Here is an 18,745-nt window from a genome sequence, read left to right on the forward strand (position 1 = left end):
ATATACACACACACAGTGCAAACTCATACATGATCAAATCTATAATCTTATTACACAAAGTTTTGTGAGAGGAAAAATGCTTGACTTTTCAAAAGGGCTCATTTATTAAAAATAAAATGACCATTGTGTTCATTTTAGCTGCAACCTTTAAGCAATCAATGACTATATACTTGCTGTAATCATCCTTTAAAATTAGAATTATTGAAAAGCTTTATCACTGATGAATGAAAGAAAGTAATATTGATTTGTGGCCAAGAGAGATAATCTCAGGCAATAAACAGGTGCAGTCTTTGAAGGAATCATTTTATTTTATTACTTTCTGACATTATTGAAGCCAATTTTAAATAAATTCATCATGTTTTTAAATTTAATCACGTATTATTTTATCATACATTAGGTAAAGTTTCAATCTAAGTAACTCCTGGATAAAAAATGAAGTATATCAATTTACAATTACAAATACCCAAATTGTACAGGCATGCATTTTTCAATGACATTTATAAATTGTGTTTTGTTGTTTGTGCCTTGTGTTTGTTTTATTAATCAAATTAATTTATATAGATATATGTATGGAAATGAGACAGATATAACCAGTTCTCTATAAGTAAGCATTATTTAATGGAGTCTTTCCTTTCACTAATGATCATCAGGACAGCTAGGGAAGTGAGTTGAAATTTTCAGGCCATTAGGTTAATAGTTCTAGTAATTCTAGTAATGTTTCGACAGTCATAATATAAATGATACTATGTGGCTTGAATTAATGCATTTTCTTATGTAACAAATAATAAGACAATTTTTAAAAGTGGTAATTACTATTTTTAAATATGACAATTAAAAATAATGAAAGAAAAGAGGTTGTACATTGAGTAGCCATAACATTATCTTTAAACATATTTATTCTTCATTTCCTAACTTTTCCCACCTTTTGGCTAAATCGTATGTTCTTTCTCTAACCTCACTTCTGTTTTATTACTCTCTGGGAAAGATTTTTATATAAAACGTCTAAGCAATCAAACCTAACACAGGATGAATTTCTACACATTACCATACCCTCTGGTCACTATTTTTTTCTTCTCTTTATTGCCCATTTCCCTGTTCTTGAAACATTCCAATTATTTGCCTTCCATGACATTCTACTCTTACTTTTACTTTTCTGTCTCTGATTACTCATTTCCAGTTCCCTTTGTCATCTCCTTGTCTTCCTACACCTGCCAATTAAATTTGAATTTCCTCTGCATTTCATCTTATGTCTCCTTTTCTTCTGCCAAATTCTCTCCTTAGACAAATACAGTCATTCCCATGGTTTTATATCCCACTTATATTCAGGGGCTCTAGAATGTATAGCGCCAGGCCAAATCTATCTTAAGAACTTACTTTACTTAACCAATTACATCTGCATCTGCTCAGGATCATGTAACCCAGATCAGCATTTGGCTCTTTTGTAGACCCATTTTTTCTTTTCCTGGAAGTCTATTTTGACACCTACTTTCTGTCACTACCCACGTTTTAGCATTTAGCCTTGTCAATTTACTCTCATCCATATGTAACTCTATCCATTTTCTTCTCTCTATTATGAACAGCAGTTTGAGCCATCATGACCAATTTTGCAGTATCCCTTCTTAAATTAGCCTCCTGTTTTGCATTGGACATTTTCACCCCCCAGCAATTCCACCGATTTCATTCTCGGAAAAATATAAATGAAGAGTTACATTTTTCAATACCATAATCATTAAATTTCCATGCGTAAGAAAATGTTCAGAACAGTATCAGTGCATTTATAATAAAATTAAAAAACTTGACCCACAAATCTCTACTTGTCCTTCTAGTTTTATTTCATTTGTCTCTCGTCAATCTCTACATTCTGATCACCACAATCTTTTAATTCATCTGAAAGCTAAGCTCTCTCTTAATTTAGATTCTCTATACTTGCAATTTTGTCTACCTGGAAGTGTTTTCTTCCATCTTTGGATTGTTATTGCAAATCCATTGAATAGTTCTCATCTGAATTGTTTCTTCCTTGGGATGACTTATAAACACTTCATCCTACAGCCAAATCAGAAGACCAATATCAAAATCTTTCATCACATCCTAAATTTGCTTATATGTAATTATATGGCAAGAATCTCTTTGTCTTTATAATCATTATTCACTTATCTATGGTTTTTAAAAACTCTTCTATGTGGTGATGCTAAGCTCCGTAATGTTGGGCTTGTTACCTGTCTCAACTATCTTCCACACCTACCACAGTACCTGCTACATAGATGTATTCAATATATATTTTTAGAATTAGTAAATGATGAGCAAGCGTGTACTTTTGTTCTCTTTCATTACAGTGTTAGAAATGCTATTACAGCATTAGAAAAGATAATCAGAAAGAAAATTTAATAGATCATCAGAAAAAATCCCAAGACTTTTAGGCAAATGAACCTACAAACACAGGTGGAATGGACTTGCAATTTACCAAGAAATAGGTTTGTCATACTTAGAAACCAACTCTATAAACATGTTTTTATCTATTAATAACTTCATTTTCCAAAACGCTCTACTTTATATGAGACAATTCTTGATGGAAATACCATTTGCTTCTAGGCTCGTTGCTTAAACATAAAGTTAAAAATCTTTGTATGACACATAAAATTGTGGTGACTGCTTAACTTTGCAACTATAGTGCTCCTGAAATGCTCATCTAACCAGTCTGTGTTCCAGACCTACAAAACTTAGATGGTGCTAAAATTGCGCAAAAATTGTGTATTTCTTCTACAACAAACTTCTGATAAAAAGGGGGCAGAGAAGGTTAACTGTCTCCCCCTTTAGCTTTATTTGCTTAGTGAATTTCTACAAAACATCATTTAAGTGCTATATTTTTCCAAGGTTTTAATAAGGAAATAAAAACCGCAATAGGTATCTTAAGCAGAAAGTGCATTTCATACATATACAATAGGAAGAGCTAAAATAACTAAAGTAGCTGTGGCATGGAGGAAGGTTTTGAGTTCTTGAATTCAAAGGCACGCAATCATTTCTGCAATCCTGGGTCAAAAAGATGCTCCTACTATTAAAACTTTAAGCTTCTTATGCCCATGAAACTGGGGATTAGGCACAAGGATATTGAATCCTACCACTTCCACTACTTCTGAACTATTGTCTCCATGATTTCACTTGCCAGAATCAACAATAGCAAGACAGGCTTTGATCTCTTCCATTTTTCTAAGTCTGATTCATATGCAAACAATCGGTAAGTGGTCTAAGCTGCATTCATAAAGCTAGCTCAAGGGAAGCTGCATTGCTTGTTTTGTTTTGTTTTAATTTTCTAACCTCTTCAAAGAGTGGAACGAAAGTTGAGGAAACCTGTCCAACAGTCTACCACACACCTTCCATGAAAGGTTCCCCAACACCTCCAACAAAATAATGTAAACACATGCTGGAACCTATATTACTCTCGCACCATAACACTTCCCACACTTCCCACAATACTTTTTCTCTTCATGGGAATATCCTTCCAAAACATGCTGATATCTCCTAAGCATTATTCATCTGTCGAATTTTCCCACCTATTGTAAGGTCTTCCAATTGTTAGGTTCTTAATAAATACATTTTAAATTATTAAAATTCTGAACTAATGGGTAATCAACTGTACAACCCGAATTGCTGATTTGCATACAGCTGAAGTCCCTCCTCAAAACTTCTGTAATACATGAAACTTAGGCAAATGGTTGGGTCATTACCATATATTACTTTATATTTTTATTTATCAGTATATGTGATTACAGTTATGCTTATGTTAATTGATATGTATATGTTAACTTTTATACATATGTACATTGTATTATTTTGTTGCATAGCACAGCATTTTGTACTCAAAAAGTGACCAATAATAATAAGCTGCATACTTTGGGAAGCATTGCAGGCTAGTCATACAGTTTTTTGTTTTTTTTTTCCCTGCAGCCTGACAACCTTTTTAGTCATTCACTAAACCTCTCTCAGCTTCAGTTTCTTCATCTGCAACATATAGCAAATAATAAAACTTAACTCAGATGGTTCTAGTGTGAAATAATACAGAGTAAATGTGCCACCAAATACAAACCAATGGCTTGATTGACATAACTCACTGCTAATTTTCTTGAAATGATTCAAAGTATTTTCCAGACAAGCACACACTGAGGGAATTCGTCACCACTAAACGAGTCCTATGAGAAATACTCAAAGGTGTCCCAAACACAAAAATGAAAGGTCAACATTCATCATCATCAAAACACATGAAAGTAGCAAACTCATAGGTCTTGTAAAACAGTCACACAAAGTAGGACGAGAAATCAAATAGCAACACAACAGATTTCCACCAAACCACAAAGACAAAGAGACAGACAGAAAGAAAAACAAAAAACAACAACAAAATAACCCCAAAGAACTTATAAAACAAGTAGAAAACAAATAGCAATATGGCAGAAAGAAAACCTCATGTATTAATATTAACCTTGAATGTAAATGAATTAAACATTCCACTTAAAATATATAGATTGATAGATATTGGGCCAGGTGCAGTTGCTCACACCTGTAATCCCAGCACTTTGGGAGGCCGAGGTGGGTGGACCACGAGGTCAGGAGTTCGAGGCCAGGCTGGCCAACATAGTGAAACCCTATCTCCATTAAAAATACAAAAATTAGCCAGGCGTGGTGGCCGGCACCTGTAATCCCATCTACTTGGGAGGCTGAAGCAGGAGAATCGCTTGAACCTGCAAGACGGAGTTTGCAGTGAGCCAAGATTGCGCCACTGCACTCCAATCTGGATGACAGAGTGAAACTCCATCTAAAAGTAAAAAAAAAAAAGAAAGGTAGATTGATGGAACGAACTAAAAAATGATCCAAAAATATTATGCTTACAAGAAACATATAGACACATACAGACTGAAAAGTAAAGACACATACAGATTTAAAGTAAATGGGTGAAAAAAGATACTCCATGTAATGGAGACTAAAAGCAAGCAGGAATAGCTATACTTATATCAAGTAAAACAGAACTTAAATCTAAAACAGTATAACAATGACAAAGGAAGTCATTACATAATGATAAAGGGATCAATTCAGCAAGAGGATATAACAATTCTAAACACATATGCATCCAACACTAGACCACCAAGATTCATCAAATAAATATTACTAGACATAAAAAAGGAATAGACAGCAATACGGTAATACTGGGAGACTTTACCATCTCACTCACAGCATTAAATGTTATCATCAAGACAGAAAACAAATAAACATAAGACTTAAATTCAACCTTAGATGAAATAGACCTAACTGACATTTACAGAAAATTCTACCCAGCAACTACAGAATATACATTCTTAATAAAACCGCAATTTCACCCAACAATCCCACTACTGGAGATCTACCCAAAGGAGAACAGATAATTATATGAAAAAGGTATCTGCACCCATATGTTTATCACAGCACTATTCACAATAGCAATGTGTCCCTCAGTGGATAATTAGATTAATAAATCTGGCATATATGCCCTATAGAATACTATTCAGCTATACAAAAGAATAAAATCATGTCTTTTGTAACAACATGGATGTAACTGGTCATTATTTTAAGTGAAACAAATCAGACACAGAAAGACAAATACTGCATGTTCTCACTTATAACTGGAAGCTAAATAATGTATATACATGGACATAGAATGTGGAATGATAGACAACAGAGACTTGGAAATTTCAGGAGGGTGGGAGGAGGGGATGATGAGAAATTATGTAATGAGTACAATGTACATTTTTCAGGTGATGTATATTCTAAAACCCTTACTTCAACACTATGTACTTTATGGAGGTAATAAGATTATATTTGTATCCCATAAATTTACATAAATAAAAAATTGCCTTCTGTACTTACTTTAGCCCAGTTATTGTTAGGTTCAACATTCAGCACTTTACTTAAATTTTCTATAGCTTTCTGGACCTTTTTTTGATATTTATATATAGTAGTGTGGCACAGAAGTGCTAATATTTACCAAAATAAAAGTTATATTTTTAATTAAAAATTAATTAAAAGGTTGTAGAATCTCAGGATGGAATGCAGACTGTTACAAATTTATCTAGCTCTATTATGAACCATACAAAATAACTTCAGTGAGGGACTTAAGGGAAAGGGTGCTAGTCAAAGTGATATTGAAAATGAGTGCAGTCTCTTAAGATGAAAGGCAAAAGAAACTTGTACGAAGGCATTTAATTTAGTTGATAAAGATGTTCTTCTACTAAGGGCAGGTTATCAATTCTGGTACAGCTATATACATATACTGGAAGTGAACAATTAACTAAATAGATGTCACAAAATAAGAGTCAGGATTTTTATTGTTGGAGTGGGGGTTTAGAGATACAGGAAGGCACTGATGCTTGCGGGACTAGGTTAGAGGTAGTGACATCAGTAAGAACCCATGTTTAGCTTAATAGAGACATAGATGGTGATATGGTTTACATTTTGTCCCCTCTCAAACCTCTTGTCCAATTGTAATCGCCAGTGTTGAAGGAGGGGTCTAGTGGGAGGGGATTGGATTATGGGGGCAGATTTCCTCCTTGCTGTTCTTGTGATAATGAGTTAGTTCTCACACAATCTGGTTGTTTAAAAGTGTGTAGCATCTCCCTCTTAGTTCTCTTCCTCCTTCTCCAGCCATGTAAGATGTGGCTGCTTCCTCTTTGCCTTCTGCTATGACTGTATGTTTTCTGAGGCTTCCCCATCCTTGCTTCCTGTACAGCCTGTGGAACTGTGAGGCAATTAAAGCTCTTTTCTTTATAAATTACCTAGGATCAGGTAGTTCTTTATAACAATGGGATAATGGACTAATATAGATGTTTACATATAGAAATATTTAAAGATATGTGTCTACATATGTGTAAGAATATACACATTGTTTCTTTGCTCTCTCATCTTAGAGAGCTATGAAAAAATTGATACTCCCTTAGCTACAGGCACAGCTAGCACTTAAATATTGATTTCATATATAGAAAGCAGGGCGTCTTTGAAAGTGGCTGATTCTAAGAATGGGGAAGAAAATACACAAGATGAGCCTGGGACATCCTCTAGTGCCAGAAATTATGAAAATACTAACAAAAATCTATTTGTGAGATATGTCAAACAAGCACAGGGGCCAAGTGAAAGGTCTTTCAATTTCTAGAATAATTTTAGCAACACAATACATTAATTGGTATTATATTTGGATTATGCCCAAAAATGTAATTTTCCTTAGTCCATATTGATATCAATAAATGACTGAATAAACAAATGAATGAGATAAAAGAGGTAAATCTCCTCTGCAAATAATTTACATATGTATTCCAACTAAAGGAAGTCAGCTCTTAAAGACATCTTAAGCAATACTGCAACTGAATTAGCTTTCCAAAGATACTGTCACAATTCATCTATTCCAAGACCTATACATTTCATATTTTAATATCTCCTGAAAATATAATGCATTTTACAATTCAGTGGTATGTCTTAGTTTAATTAGCCACAGTGCGAATTACTTGCTTAACGGGACATAAAATAGTGCATTATACAATCTATGGGCTCTTGGACTCAAGAAAATACGATAGAAAGGAGTTTATGTTAGAGTCTGCACACTGACTAAAGATCAGAGCAGAAAGCAGATTCTAGGAACAGTCACATTTGTGGCAGTCACTGGTCTCGGCATGCAACAAAATTCAAAGTAAATAGTGGTAAGGTGGGAAATGGACAAAGCTATGTAGCTAGAATCAGAAGTCTTTGAAATCAAAACATCAAGATTCAAACTATTTAGGGGCAGTGGGGCTGACGTGGTGACCGTGGGCCTGATCAGATAAAACCTTTACAAAGAAACAGTAGCTCTCAGACTCACCTCCTGAGACAGAGTTGTTCTGAGGGGAAAATGGGTAAGTTTCTACAGTAACATACAGTACTTAAACATACAGTAAGATACAGTACTTAAAGCCCTGACCTGTCCAGTTCCCAACACATCTTTCTTGATGGGCATCTAAATGTCACCTTTTGGTTTTATTTTTGTGTTTTTCTCATCTAAGCTCTGAGAGCAAACCCTGACAGGGTGAGCCCCCAAAGTGTGTTCATGTCTTAAGAGTGTCCAGAAGCCACATAGGGAGTGTGCAAGTTTTTCATTTTCATGCCAGGGACAATGTCTCTCTTTATTGAGCTAATGGCAAGGTATGGGCCTCAGAATATGTACAGTTTGAACATATTTGCATCTTCCCTTTAATTAACTGTGAAATCTGTGAGGCTAATGAGAAGAAAATTGATGGGTAGTCGGTGGAAGAATTTTTTTTTCATTGTCGTATCTTCAACTTTCCTGGGGTATAATAAGAGATGCACAGTCAATTCAGTATACTTGAAATGTGTGATGTGGTCAAATTTGAGATATATATATATATATATGTATATACTTTTGGAAATATCACTACATTCACAACCATCATTATGAAAAGTTTTCTTGTGCACCTCAGTAATCAGTCTCTCCCTCCATGCTGTCTCCAGGCAGCCATTTGATTTTCCATCAGGTAACATGAGTGAGAAGAAAATGTTTGTTGCAAGCTATTTAAATTTTGTGGTTGTTCACTTTTTAGAAACTCTTTGGAATTTTCTTTCTCATATCTTTATTAATATATAAAGTGTCTGTTTGGCATACTTTCAGATAATGTAAATAATATACTCAGCAATTGTTTTGTGCTGGGCTTCCATTTAATCTTTCAAGATCATATGGATTTTTATAGCTTTATATGTTGTGTTTGGCATCTTAAGCTCACTATCTACCTACTGACTCTTAAATCCCAAACTCTAAAGAGGTTCTGAAGATTCCAAACAATGGCTTGATAACTTAAAGTAAAAAAAGCTCAGGATAACTCAAATTGTGTGACTTAGCATGCTTGAGAAAGTTTTTTTTTTTTTTTGAGACAGAGTCTCACTCAGTCACCCAGGCTGGAGTGCAGTGGCGGGATCTCAGCTTACTGCAAACTCCGCCTCCCGGGTTCACGCCATTCTCCTGCCTCAGCCTCCCGAGTAGATGGGACTACAGGCGCCCGCCACCGTGCCCGGCTAATTTTTTTTGTATTTTTTAGTAGAGACGGGGTTTCACCGTGTTACCCACAATGGTCTCAATCACCTGACCTCGTGATCTGCCCACCTTGGCCTCCCAAAGTGCTGGGATTACAGGCGTGAGCCACCTCGCCCGGCCTTGAGAAAGTGCTTTTAAGCTCCTTCCTAAATGAATGATTATTTAGTCTTGCAGTGTCCATAATTTCTTTAGGTCACTTACGGAAGTCTCAAACTTGTCTGTAACACCTGATAATAACTTCCAGTACTATTCTAAAATGTAGATTTATTTTATCACATTTTCTTCTAACTTCTACTTGCCCCTGTTATAACAATCTTCATTCTTCTTTTGTACTTATATTTTCTCCTTTTAAAACTCAATATCTAGGTCCTCTCTTATAATTGTGCTTAAAATTCATCCTGCAGTAGTGTCAGAGCAGGGTTTCTCAAAGTCATTGTGGGGAACTATCGTGTACACTGTAAGATGATTAGCAACATCCCTAGCCTCGACCACCAGATGCCAGTAGCACACCCTCTCTTTCACAGTTTTTTTTTTTTAATCAGAAATATCTGTACACATTGACAAATGTCCACCGGATGGGAAGAAGAATGTGGGGTGTAAAATTCCCATTTTTGAGACCCACTTGCTTAGAATGTATTAAAGACCTATAATTGAAAATACCTTGGCAAAATCTCCCAAAATTGTCTCTCAAAATAACAGTATATACAGTGTAACATACACAACATCCTAAGTTATACTAATGAAAAAATCTAAGAAAAACTCTATATGATGATATTTAGATATTACAGTCACTATATTAACTATTAGGATAATGTGCCACTAATTCCCAATCGTCACTGCTTTCATGTAGTGCTTGCTCCATATTGTCTTAATGTTAATCCTTAACATACACAGCCTAACATATTTATTGATGTGAAAGTTTTTGTTTTATTTTCAACAACACGGTCTCAACCAGGGGTGATTTTCACTACCAGGGACCATTTGTCAATGTTTAGAGACAATTTTAGTTTTTACTGCTGTAGGTAGTGGAGTGTGCTATTCACATCCGGTAAGTTTAGGGCAGGAAAACTGGTAAACCTCCTATAATACGAGGCTAGAGCCCACAACAAAATTATCAGGTCCAAAAATGTCAATAGTATTGAAGGTGAGACAATTTCTAGGGAGATATTACACCTTGATATTCTCGAATGAATATGCTGGTAATGTAATCCAGCATTTTTCCGAAAATGAGAATAGCCTGGTGGCCTTAAATGTCATTGTTTTACTCTTACTTACATTGGACTAAAGAATGAGATCAAATGCAGCTGAATAATTTGGATATTTAAAGCAATAACATTTTTCACTAACGCGCATAGGCTTAATGCCTGGGTGACAAAATAATCTGTATACCTATTTACCTATAGGTTTACCTATATAACAAACCTGCACATATACCCCTGAACTGAAAATAAAAGTTAATAAATAAAGTAATTACATTTGTTTAGAAATAAAATAAATTTAGAAATGGAAAATATTGTTGAAAATATTCTAAGAATTTTAAATTTATACATTAAAATAGAAATAATCTGAATATTATTACTAATAGAAAATCTTTGTCTTGATCTCAAATTCCAAGTAGAATATCTTTAGACTATCTCTAGCAATAGCTAACAGAATAAGATTTACAAACCTTGATAGATCATTTTTCATGCCTGTGTCATTTTAAAATAAATTGATGGCTGTTAAAACTTAATTTAGTTTGAGTCTCTTCCGGATCATATATATAGTTTTACAGACAGCCATGTTCAATGAAATTATAATATGTAATACAAGAAATATGCCAGATGTAAAGTAAGAATCTCTCTTAAACGCTCTGATATTCAAAAATCTTTATCAGATTTCCTAAACTAACGATTTTAAACAAAACCTTTTAGTTAAGAAAGCACTGGTCTCAATAGTAAATCTGCCAATATGAATTGCTGCATTTTATTTTTGAATTTTCTAAAGGACATCTGCCAGAGCAATTAGATATAAAATCCTGCATGCAATCTAATATTAGATGAAAAGTTTAAACTACCAATGATACAATATTGATGCACAGAGGAATGAATTGATTTTTTATGTTATTCTCAAATTGAAAGTCAATCTTTTTATAAAATAAATTAAATTTATAAATAAATCCAAATAGTGATATTTTAGCTCACTTTTGACAGTAGGTTTTCAGTTTCTGATGTTAACAATGGCATAATTATGATTTGTTGAATGACTTTAAAGTGATCAGATAAGGAAATAATTAGGGTTTGCAGTAGCTGGAGAAAGAAAAAGAAGAAATATTTTGATATTGCATACTCAATATGGCACATACTACGTCATAGGCTTTAATATCAATTGACTACTCTCTTTAGAAGGAGTACGGTTTGACCTAGACAAGTTTATTTATTTATTCATTTTTGTAATAATTTTTTCTCATTCTCTTTGACACATTGGTTAACCTAAAATTACTGTGTTGCTTAGGACATTGACTAAAAATCGTAGTCTTTCAGTTTGTGGCTGCTCACATAATTTTTTTTTTTTTGCTTTGGCTTACTAAATAATCTTTTATTGGAGTTAAAACAACAAAGCTAGTAAAGATATATAAATCAATGCCAAAAAAAAGGAGACAGGCCTACTTATATGCCATTATCTTCTGTTACTGCCATTGGATAGAAGACAGACATTATCATTTTTAATCAATTGTATACTTCATAAATATGATACAACAGATATTTTTACTTCCAAGATTATACATAGAGTTTTTATGATTCCTTTGTGAGTGTGAACTATATAGCTGTCCCTAAAACATAATTCAGAACAGAAAGGTTTTATTTTTAATTATATAATTTTCTTGCCCAAGTTATATGGATTCATAGGTTACAGAATGTATAACAATATACATTTTTTGCATTTTTTAATTTACTATATAATTTATTTGTGAAACCAAATTTGATATACAACTATGTAAACCACTAAATATGATTTGGATTAAAATAATCTTAACAGACAAATCCAAAAACACTGCATTTTATTATTTCTATTTCTAATGTTACCTCCAGGTTTAAACTCCCCTAAGTAATTGACTCTACCTATTATGTTTGTGTTTTGAAACATCACTCTATATTGTAACAAAAAGAAAAATGACACAATTAGTTTCATATATGTACACAAAAATTTTCAGTTTTAAATAAGGAAATATAGTTTTGAAATTTAAAAAAGTAAATGTTATAATATTTTCTCAAATAATTTACTACTCATATTCCCATTGCTTAGTTTCATTAATTTTTACACTCACATTTTACATATCCAAGATATATTTCCAGCTTTATTTTCTGAATGAACTCCTAGGATCTTAGATGAGTTTATTATTTTGCATGAGGTGCCACTGCTTGATACCTGAATGTGTGTATACCCCCTTTTTTTTTATACTTTAAGTTTTAGGGTACATGTGCACAGTGTGCAGGTTAGTTACATATGTATACATGTGCCATGCTGGTGTGCTGCACCCATTAACTCCTCATTTAGCATTAGGTATATCTCCCAATGCTATCCCTCCCCCCTCCCCCCACCCCATAACAGTCCCCAGAGTGTGATGTTCCCCTTCCTGTGTCCACGTGTTCTCATTGTTCAATTCCCACGTATGAGTGAGAACATCCGGTGTTTGGTTTTTTGTCCTTGTGATAGTTTACTGAGAATGATGATTTCCAATTTCATCCATGTCCCTACAAAGGACATGAACTCATCATTTTTTATGGCTGCATAGTATTCCATGGTGTATATGTGCCACATTTTCTTAATCCAGTCTATCACTGTTGGACATTTGGATTGGTTCCAAGTCTTTGCTGCCCAAGGTAATTTATAGATTAAATGCCATCCCCATCAAGCTACCAATGACTTTCTTCACAGAATTGGAAATAACTACTTTAAAGTTCATATGGAACCAAAAAAGAGCCCGCATCGCCAAGTCAGTCCTAAGCCAAAAGAACAAAGCTGGAGGCATCATGCTACCTGACTTCAAACTATACTACAAGGCTACAGTAACCAAAACAGCATGGTACTGGTACCAAAACAGAGATATAGATCAATGGAACAGAACAGAGCCCTCAGAAATAACGCCACATATCTACAACTATCTCATCTTTGACAAACCTGAGAAAAATAAGCAATGGGGAAAGGATTCCCTATTTAATAAATGGTGCTGGGAAAACTGGCTAGTCATATGGAGAAAGCTGAAACTGGATCCCTTCCTTACACCTTATACAAAAATTAATTCAAGATGGATTAAAGACTTAAACGTTAGACCTAAAACCCTAAAAACCCTAGAAGAAAACCTAGGCATTACCATTCAGGACACAGGCATGGGCAAGGACTTCATGTCTAAAACACCAAAAGCAATGGCAACAAAAGCCAAAATTGACAAATGGGATCTCATTAAACTAAAGAGCTTCTGCACAGCAAAAGAAACTACCATCACAGTGAACAGGCAACCTACAGAATGGGAGAAAATTTTCACAACCTACTCATCTGACAAAGGGCTAATATCCAGAATCTACAATGAACTCAAACAAATTTACAAGAAAAAAACAAACAACCCCATCAAAAAGTTGGCAAAGGACATGAACAGACACTTCTCAAAAGAAGACATTTATGCAGCCAAAAAACACATGAAAAAATGCTCACCATCACTGGCCATCAGAGAAATGCAAATCAAAACCACAATGAGATACCATCTCACACCAGTTAGAATGGCAATCATTAAAAAGTCAGGAAACAACAGGTGCTGGAGAGGATGTGGAGAAATAGGAACACTTTTACACTGTTGGTGGGACTGTAAACTAGTTCAACCATTGTGGAAGTCAGTGTGGCAATTCCTCAGGGATCTAGAACTAGAAATACCATTTGACCCAGCCATCCCATTACTGGGTATATACCCAAAGGATTATAAATCATGCTGCTATAAAGACACATGCACACGTATGTTTATTGCGGCACTATTCACAATACCCCATTCATTAGACTTTTAAAATCAATACCCACTCTTCCCCACGAAAAAGAGAAAGTAAAAACAACTAAGAGTGGATTTCTATATCACGATGACTCATTTTCAATAGAACACTACCATAGGTCAAATGGATGAATGCATAAATAATGAATGGATTAATATCTTTTATATAATCATGTGCCACATAACAACGTTTACATCAATAAGAGACAGCATGTAAAACAATGGCTCATTAAGATTATTATAGGGTTGAAAAATTGCTATCACCATTATAGATTGATCACTCTATGAAGTTTGCACAGTAAGATAAACACCTAACCACACACTTCTCAGAACATATCCTCATTGCTAAGTGACACAAGGCTATATTTCATTTAATGATTGCGTAAATATTTGTTGAGAAAAATCTGCACTCTAAGTACCAGGATAAAAGAGATTAATAATAAATTAATGATTAAATGCACCATGATAAATCTTATCATTGAGGTCTATATGCTACATTTGGATTACATCATAAAGGCAGAGGTTAATCATCGCAACTTACACAACAGGATACAGAGTGGATCAGCAGATAATTACATAATAGAATACAGTTTGTAACCTGCAAGATGCATTAGAATTAATTAGAATCAAACCATATGTGTGACTTTGGTTTAAATGTGCAAAACCTATTAATATAGATATAGCCAGGACATTTCTGTTGTGTGTGTGTATATATATATGTGTATATATATGTATATATATACACGTATATATAGTGTGTGTATATATATATACACACACACACATACGTGTATATATACATATATATATATATATATATATATTTTTTTTTTTTTGTGTGTGTGATGGAGTTTCGCTCTTGCTGCCCAGGCTGGAGTGCAATGGCATGGTTTCAGCTCACTGCAACCTCCGCTTCCAAGGTTCAAGCAATTCTCCCGCCTCAGCCTCCCAAGTGGCTGGAATTACAGGGGCCAACCACCACACCAGGCATATCTTTGTATTTTTAGTAGAAACTGCTTTCACCACGTTGGCCAGGCTGGTCTCGAACTCCTGACCTCAAGTGATCTACCCCCTCGGCCTCCCAAAGTGCTGGGATTACAGGTGTGAGTCACTGTACCCAGTTTGTCTTTATAAATCTTATAGAAATATTTAACTTTTAAAATCAACCACATACAATTAAGACTTTGATAAAGTAATTAAGAAGTAAAGCAACGGAAAAAGCAATTTTTAAAAACATATATGAATGATTGAAAGCCAGGAGTAAAATTAAGAATTGTATTAAAATATCAGTATTAAAATTAGCTATATAAATATTTAATTAATGCAGCTAAATTGTTAACAAACAAAATTTCCAGAAGAAAAGTATGTTAACATTACTGAATCATCTTAAAATCTTATTAAAATTTAAAGTTCTTCTAAACTGAAATTATATCACAGAAAAAAATAATGTCACCTTAAAAAGTTTAGGATTAGAAATACATAATTATTTTTAAATATAGTCTTTATATATTAATTATATTTCATTAATGTCTTATTTCTTGAATAAACTTTTTTCATGATACTATTTAAGTGCCACATTCTACAATAATATGGAAAACAATTCTACAAAATGTGGCATACAGTAATTTATAGGTAGTATAGCACACCTTTTATCTCTTTATAGCAAAAACATAATGTGTAAATTAATATAACACTAAGTCCCATATTGTCATTTTTTGTCAAAGAGCTATCTCCTTGAAAACCATCATCCTCAGATGCATCTCTAACGTAAAAAGACCTTAGAAACTGTAACAATTGTAAATGCATTATAACTTAAAGAGATATTATCTTCACATTAGAGGCTAACAGGCTTATACCTACTGATAGCTGACAAGTATTACAGGAATCCTGGCAGGCAAATTGTTGCATAAAAATTATGTAATTTACTAACTGTAAAATAACCTTTAGAGTTTAGAATCAGTCAAATAAGTAGAACAGACAATTGTTATCAAAGCCATATAAATGGCTATTAAAATTATGTTTTGCTACCCTCATTTTATCTCTGAAGAGACATCTTGTTAAAAAATGAATAATAGACACATATAAATACCTAATTACAAGCAGAGTTAAGATTAAAATTCAGCCTCATTGGGGTGGGATAGAAATCAGTACAGTAAAGAATATTTTGGTGCAGGTAGTTTGTTTCAAATGATTCAACCTTCAACATTACTTCACTTAAATTTTAGCAAACTTTCTGCTAAAATTTAAGCATACATACATATGACACTAGACATATGTCCTGTGTAAGCCTGGGCTAGGGGAGCTCTATTAAATACTTATATAAACCCCAAAGATGTCCTAAGAAACACAATTTGGAAAAACTTTGATGTGCTACAGCACAGATTTTCTCATACAGCAACAGAGCAGACACTTGAATGTAGTTATACTCCTGCTTTCCACCTCCCTGTCAAAACAATAAAAAAGGCCACAGGCCTGTGGTTCTGGCCTCCAGGGAACCGGTGGCTTCTTTAACCCACACTGCTGCTGCTGAACCCCATTTAGGTTTAGGGTTTATTTTGTATACGCCTTTGTACAGGCTAAATGCTGGTCTAGTTGAAAATCAACATAAAACAACCTTAATAGCATCTCATTTTATTGTGACTTTACTTTTTGTGTTGTTTTGTTTTTTTACTTTTGGAGACAGAGTCTTACTCTGTCACCAAGGCTGGAGTGCAGTGGCATGATTATGGCTCAACCTCCAGGCTCAAGTGACCCTCCCACTTCAGCCACCTGAGTAGCTGATACCACAGGAACATGCCACCACATAAGGCTAACTTAAAGAACATTTTTTTAGATGGGATCTCACTATGTTGACCAGGCTGGTCTTGAGCTCTTTGCCCCAAGCAATCCTCCCACCTTGGCCTCCCAAAGTGCAGGGATTATAGGTGTGAGCCACTATGCCAGGACTCTCTCATGACTTTAAACTTGAACATGCTTTTGTGCTGTGGCCAAGTTTAGGATCCCAACCAGCCTGTGATTACTGTGGTCACCACACAGATTCCCTCTTGTTCCGTCTTTTATATTCCATCTTCTCACTCTCATAACTGTGTGGATAGTAAAACAATTATCCATACAGGTATGATATTGGCAAAGAATATCACAAAATGTTTTAATGAGCAAACACTTTGGGGATGGTAATAATCTTTCTACCACCTTCATTGTCTTGTTTAAGTATCTCTACATTCTTCTTTAAAAATTAGGAATATATCTTTCTTGCTCTTTTGTTGTTGTTGAACACCAGAAGGGGATATTCCTTAATTCTCCATAGCTAAGGACAGTACAGCACAATATTCCATTCAGCAGGTGAAGTCAGTATGAATGAATGCATTTCAATCAGCAAATTGCTGGTTGTGTTGCAACTCCTAGTTATGATGTTTTGTGTACTTTGAAGGGCTCCCATTAATTAAGGTATTTCTTATAAGCATTTAGAAAGATTTTTTTTCTTGGCATGTGACTTGAAAATTTGTACCGATATTTTCCCTGTGACAATGTTTTGTGAATTGTAACTCAGCCACTCAAGTGGCTCCTCATAATAAAGCCACATGGTATCCATGTACACATATTTAACAAATCAAAGAAGTGGTTCTCAACCTAATCTCTAGAGGAGGTCCGTCTTGTTCACTTTCAATAACTATGTTGAAGAATAGATTCTAAAAAGCTATTACTAAATTTTCCAATATGTTTTGAAATTTGTGTCCACAAAATCTATAAATCAATAAATGTATAGAATAGAGCATAATAACCCAATTAATGAATTTAAGATGTCATCTAAGCAGGAATGAATGCAATAAATAGGCCTTCTTACTTCAAAATCAACTGCAGAGGTAATAATGCATTGCCACTAGAATTGTGTGCTGTGTTGGTAATAAATTGACAAAAACATTGGGGATAAGAAAAATCTGCAAATAAAACGGTGTGTCATTTGTGAAATATAATCACAAAAATGTTCAGATTTTTATAATTAACAGAAAAATTATTGTTTTTATTATCTCCAGTGTTTAACAGACACTATTCATCTATACATACAATATTCTTATAATAACTCTTGTGTCCATGTAAATAGCAGTCTTGCCAAAAAGAATTGATTATCATGTAGTAGTTTATAAGTGTTTTCATGCATAGTCTGCAACCTTTTAGAGTGCTATTCTAGTAAATTATTAATATTAACTTGATGAATACAATTCTAAGACATTTCATTTGAGGATATGTTTATTAACTATTAGGTTGGTACAAAAGGCATTGCGTTTTTTGCCATTATTTTCCATAAAAAATAGAACCAGCATTTAGAAATCTACTTTCAGAAACTTAATAAAATGAGAATTTGTCCTCTTTTACATATAGGAAGCCTGCATAATAAGCATTCTGTTGCTAGTACATAAGCTTCCCATTTTCATCAGGAACCTATACACTTACATTCCTCTTTTACTAACTTCAATGAATGACTTCTATCTTCAAGGTGATTTCATGCTTCTAGCCACCATGTCTGTACTCCAGGACAGCAGCAGAGTGTAGAAAAATAAAAAAGACATACCTCCCTAATGAGTCAACTGCACTTAAGGAGCCATCCCAGAAGTTTCACACGGCTTATGTTAATACAG

The 18,745-nt window shown here is 34.1% G+C and overlaps 1 protein-coding gene across 1 annotated transcript in view; it reads right to left on the reverse strand.

Annotated features, from left to right (window-relative positions):
* Positions 1-18,745, reverse strand: part of C1QTNF3 (C1q and TNF related 3) — a 226,867-nt gene that overhangs the window by 181,021 nt on the left and 27,101 nt on the right. The gene's annotated exons all lie outside the window — the stretch shown is intronic.

This window comes from Homo sapiens, chromosome 5 (genome assembly GCF_000001405.40).
Source record: "Homo sapiens chromosome 5, GRCh38.p14 Primary Assembly".
NCBI lineage: Eukaryota > Metazoa > Chordata > Mammalia > Primates > Hominidae > Homo > Homo sapiens.